Genomic DNA, 6,125 nt, shown 5'->3' with positions numbered 1-6,125 from the left:
CCATTAAAAAAGTATATTTTGCCATGAGATAAACAATGAGACCCTGCACGAGATGAAATATTTCCATGGTCACTCGTCATCTCCTTACAGAGAATTACTAAGATTTTATTAAAACAGTGTAGATTATGAGAGTATGGTGACTCTAAAGTGAAGTTTACATTCAGATGACCCCCAGGCCCGCGTATGGAGCTCCGGTTCTGTAGCTGAAGATGGGACAGAGGTGCAGGGAGAGCTGCAGTCGCGTTCTCGGAGGCATGGCCCCGTGTTGATCGGACACGTCATGTTCAGTCAGTGCCATGCAGGTGTGCAGCGGACGGTCTGGCTGAGGCCGGGGGTGCCACGGTCCCCCCGTCTGCTGAGTAGTAGCAAAGCTGAATATTTTCCTGGAAACATTTTGTGCGCCCCTGGGGTGTGCTGCTGGGGACAATGGGAAGTCTTTGGAACTCAGGAGCAGCGCACGCTTGGTATTTGTGCTGGAAGATGACCAGCCACAGACTGGAGATCAGGATGGCCCGAGACCAGGGCCACTGCTGACCCTGGGCAGGGAGGACACAGTGTGGCAGAGGCCTGCATTGGTGGGATGGGAGGAGGCCTTGCTGGAGAGCTCAGAGGTGGAATATGGTGGTCTCATGTGGCTTCTCTTACCACAGACCCCAAGACAAAGGTGCCCACTGGTGGGAGGCTATGACCATTGTGCTGAGTCGCACGACCTGGAGCATCTCTGAGAGAGCAGAACTCACCGTCCCCACTGCATAGCTCTTCAGGCCCAGGGCTTTCGAGGAAGAAACAGGTGATCATCTTCCACCTGGCAGCTCCCAGGAGACGGGTGGGGTCAGTGGACCCTGTTCGCAGAACTAAAGGCGGGAAGACCGTGGCTTCCATTCACCTCCTCAGAAGTGAGCCAAGGGCCCTGGGCTGGCGACAAGGACTCTAAGGAGCTTGCGGGACCGTGCGGTGTTCGTGACGACAAGGACTCTAAGAAGCTTGCAGGACCGTGCGGTGTTCGTGACGACAAGGACTCTAAGAAGCTTGCAGGACTGTGCGGTGTTCGTGACGACAAGGACTCTAAGAAGCTTGCAGGACTGTGCGGTGTTCGTGACTTCCCCTTGCCTGTTGTTTTTAAAATCTTTTGTTAGTTTCTCTGTAGTTATTGGCAGAAAAATCTTTATTCGTGCCCCTGTTCAAGATTAGCAAGAAAGAGGAAATGTGGAAAAGCCACATCCTGTTTTGCAGCCAGGCTTGTGTGTGGTGGAGGGACAGGGGACAGGACCCTACGGGATGGGATGAAGAGGGATAAAGACGGCCTGGGATGGAGACGGTGGGAAGGCGCCTGTGATTCCTTAGAGCAGCACAGGCGGTGCAGAGGCTCCAGCTGGGGTCTGGAGGATGAGGCTGCCATCAAGCTCCACCATGGGCCCTGGGGAGGGGTAGGCAGGGCAGGGGGACAGCCAGAGGATGGGGAAGAGGAATGGGTGTACCATAGACCTACGGTGACATGGAACAGGCACTAGTAGGAAGGCAGCCGGGTGTTTGGGGGCCCGGGCCACAGCAGATTTCAACAATAACATGGACAAAACATGGAAAGAGCAAAGAAGACAGTGCAGGTGGCCCACAAGCACATGGAAAGGCACTTAGCTTCACCAGTCAGCAGGGAAATGCGAATCAAAACCACAGTGGGTCGTCACTTCACACCCTTTAGGATGGGTATTGTAAAAACAAAAACCAGAAAAGAACACGCACTGATGAGGGCGTAGAGAGATTGGAACCCTTGTGTGCTGTTGGTGAGAATGTGAAATGATGCAGCTGCTCCAGAAAACAGCACGGCGGTGTATTAGTCAGGGTTCTCCAGAGGGACAGAACTAATGGAATAGATACATATATATGAAGGGGAGTTTATTAAGTATTAACTCACACAATCACAGGGTCCCACAATAGGCCGTCTGCAGGCTGAGGAGCAAGGAGAGCCAGTCCCAGTTCCAAAACAGAAGAACTTGGAGTCTGATGTTCAAGAGCAGGAAGCATCCAGCACGGGAGAAAGATGTAGTCTGGGAGGCTAAGCCAGTGTCTGTTTTCACATTTTTCTGCCTGCTTTATATTCTAGCCGCCGTGGCAGCTGATTAGATGGAGCCCATCCGGATTGAGGGTGGATCTGCCTTTCCCAGCACACTGACTCAAATGTTCATCTCCTTTGGCAACACCCTCAGAGACACACCCAGGATCAATACTTTGTATCCCTCAATCCAATCCAGTTGACACTCAGTATCAACCATCACAGGGGGTTTCTGAAAAGAAATAAAAGAAAGAAAAGAACTACCATGTGAGCCAGCAAGTCTACTTCTGGGTGTTTGCACACAGAAACTGAGTGCAGGGCCTTGAAGAGATACGGGTACCCCCGTGCCCCTCACAGCAACATTCACAAGAGCCAAGGGTGGAGATAACCCAAAGTCCACTGATGGGTGAATGGGCGAGTGAGCAAGATGGGGCCTTTCCGTACCATAGAATATCACTCAGCTGTAAACAGGAAGGAGATGGAGGAAACTGGAGGATGTTATGGTGAGTGAAATCAGCCAGTCGCAAAAGGACAAAGACTCCTCCACTCATATGAGGTCCCCAGAGTCGTCAGATCACAGAGGCGGACAGGAGAGTGGGGGGTGCCGGAGTCTGGGGGAGGGATGGGGCATGAGTGTTTGGTGGGGACAGAGTTTCCTTTCAGAAGATGAAAAGGGTCTGGAGATGGATGGTGGCGATGGCACAACGATGCGAGTGTGCGTAATGCCACAGAACTGTGCACTTGAACATGATTAAAGGGTAAGTTTTATGTTATATATGACTTACCACAGTAAAAAAAATACGGAAGGAGGCAGAAATGACATCGGCCTGGTTCTTCCTTGACATTAGGTCCTGCCGGGACCTATGTTCCATAAGTCCCTGGGGTTGGAGTGCGAAAGCGATGAAGAGGAGACAGAACAGCAGAGGGGTGAGGGCAGGGGCATCGTCTTTGGGTGCAATGCTCTGTGCTCTCAGCTGCTGGAAGCTCCAGCGGCATCCACAAGGCAGCAGGTCCTTCATTAGGCTTCTTTGTCCTTCTTGAGCTTCTTCTCTGCATATTCTCTGGCCTCTCTTCCCTGCCCTCTCAGGCCTCCATCTGTGTGCTGTCATGCTGTCTGCACTCCGGAGGTTAGTGTTTGCTAGAGCTGAGCTTCATTGCAAGAATTCTCTCTGTTCTCATCTCCTTCATCTCTTCTGGGTCACCTGGTGATCCAACAATGTGTCCCTTGATTGAGTTCTCCCAGGGTGAGTCCCCCAGAGGTCTCATCCCCTGTGCTGGTCTCTCTCCCTTTGCTCTCAGTCTCCTGATCCATTCTCTGCCCTTCTGGGTCCTGCCTGGCTCCCCAGGCTGCCTGCTGGCCCACTACCTCTGCAGGTGGTGACAGCAGGTTGAGAGGGTGAGAGAGGGAGGTTGGATGCCCGTCCTGCTCCCTCCTTGCCCAGCCCTCTGTCTGCAGCAGTGGCTGTGCCCCCATCCCTGGACAATAGCTGCTCCCAAGGTGGACCCTCCCAGCTTCCCACTTAGTCTGCAGCCCTGAGGATGGGAAGGTGGGTCCGCTTGGCTCCTTCCTTGGTCTGCAGCCCTGGGGAAGGGAATGACTTCCTCTGTCTCCTGTGTTTGGTTGCCTCACCAGCCCTTGTTTGTTCCTTCACCCTGGCCACACCTCTCCAAGTAGTCTTTTCATTAATGCGTCTTTCCTTAGAGGGTCCAGGGGACTTCTGGTTCCTGCTGGGACCTGGAGGACTTATCACTACTTCTTGTCCCACTCTCAGCAAGCTGCTTTCAGGAAGAACTGACCCCTCTGCAAGCCTGGCTGTCCTCAGTCCAGGTTCCCAGGGATGACACGGAAGCCTCTGAAAGCCATCTCTGGGGCTAAGGACGTGGAGGCTGCTGCGGACATGCAGGCTTCCTCCCACTTAACCCAAGATCGCTGGGGGGCCGTTGCCTTACACCAGGGCAGGGCTCCCTGGGAGCTTGGACACGGAGGCACTGGGCCATTTAATAATATTAGAAAAGCCCATCCAGGCGAGGTGGCTCATGCCTGTAATCCCAGCACTTTGGGAGGCTGAGGCAGGTGGATCACTTGAGGTCAGACATTTGAGACCAGCCTGGCCAACATGGTGAAACCCCATCTCTACTAAAAATACAAACATTAGCTGGGCATGATGGTGCACGTCTGTAATCCCAGCTACTCGGGAGGCTGAGGCAGGAGAATCGCTTGAACCCAGGAGACGGAGGTTGTAGTGAGCCAAGATCATGCCACGGCACTCCAGCCTGGGCGACAGAGTGAGACTCTGTCTCAAAAAAAAAAAAAGGAAAAAAGAAAAGAAAAGCCCAAGACAATAAAAACATGATTTGGTTTTGATGGGATGGGGTTTTTTGTTTTGTTTTTCCTGTACTTGCACCAATAGGTACAGTAGGATTACTGAGAGTGGGATTAGGAGACACCAGGGTGACAGCCAGGCACCACTAACCCCAGCAACTGTTTGAAAACCACATTCTTTAATTTACAAGGCAAGACATACGGTTTGCCCACAGCAAGGAGTTTCAGCCACACTCTAGAGACTGCATATGATTAGGGTTGAGTGCACCTAATTTAGAGAATGTGTTTATTAAGAGTGTGAAAAATACTATGGGAATTTCATTGCATAAGCGTGAATAAAGAATTGAGATATGTTAGAAGTGGGAAATGCCCTGGAAGGTTGCCTTAAAAAGCTTGTTTGTTTTTAGTGACATAAGTAATTCATGCAGAAAAGCCAGAAAACACAGAGAAGTAAAAACAAGAAAATAGAACTCACCTATACTCCCCAAACTCAGGGCTGGTCATAGTTAGCATTGTGGCATATACACTACCAGGTTCTTTTGTGACATAATTATACATGTAAATTTATGTACCAGTTTTGATATGTAGAACCATATACTATACAGATTATTTTGTATCCTGTTCCTTAGCCTATCCCTTCCCCAAGAATTCAGGGCAAATATTATTCTGTGACAAGAAATACCTTCTCAGCTGGGCACTGTGTCTCACACCTGTAATCCCAGCACTTTGGGAGGCCAAGGCGGGTGGATCACTTGAGGTCAGGAGTTCAAGACCCGCCTGGCCAACATGGTGAAACCCCGTCTCTACTAAAAATACAAAAATTAGCCAGGCGTGGTGGTGGGTGCCTGTAATCCCAGCTACTCAGGATTCTGAGGCAGGAGAATCGCCTGAACCTGGGAGGCGGAGCTTGCAGTGAGCTGAGATTGTGCCACTGCACTCCAGCCTGGGTGACAGAGCAAGACTCTGTCTCAAAAAAAAAAACAAAAAAAAAAACCTTCTCAACAACATTTTTACTGGCTACATAAGGGTGTGTGTGTGTGTGTGTGACAGATTAGTTACCTATCTAATATTGTTGGGCATTAATAGACCATTTCATACTTTTCAGTATCGTAAACAAAGCTGCAACAAATATGTGTGCTAAGTGTGTACACATCTTTTATTCTTTTTCCTTAGGATCAATTCCAGCACTGTCTTCTGATAAAATAACCTGGTTGCACAGTCAACCAAGTGTGGTGAAATTCTTTCTCATGTGTGATCCTCCAGCCTGGCTTCTGCCGCTGGCATCAGATGCCCTGGGGGTGCTGCCTCTGGACAGGCTCTTCTACTTCCTCCGGTGGGCACGGGGTGCCATCAGTCATCAGCTCGGCGTCACCAGTCCCCTCATCCATTGCTTGTGGGACAAATGGCTCTTGTTCTGCTTTCCATTCATAATGATTTCCTGTTTCCCTTTTTAATCAGAGCTCGCCTAAAACATCTTAAGCTGTGCTTTAACAAGAAACCCTTAAACTGTACTTTTAAGTATTCAATAGCAGTTTTTTTCCTTAGTGTGTTACTCTTACTAGAACATTCTATATGTATATAACTAAGGAACTGTGTGTACGACAGAGCTGAGAGAATTCGGCAAATCAGAACAAAATGACAACCCCTCCTCACCCCAGGCCATTGCGATCCAGAAGCAAAGAATGGCAGGTAGGTTAACAGCAGTAAGTTTGGTTAAGGTTTATTATGTGAAGTTTTATCATTGCTCTGCTG

Source organism: Homo sapiens, chromosome 7, assembly GCF_000001405.40.
Source record: "Homo sapiens chromosome 7, GRCh38.p14 Primary Assembly".
Lineage (NCBI taxonomy): Eukaryota > Metazoa > Chordata > Mammalia > Primates > Hominidae > Homo > Homo sapiens.
The sequence above is the reverse complement of the archived record's forward strand: the minus strand, read 5'-3'. Positions refer to the sequence as shown.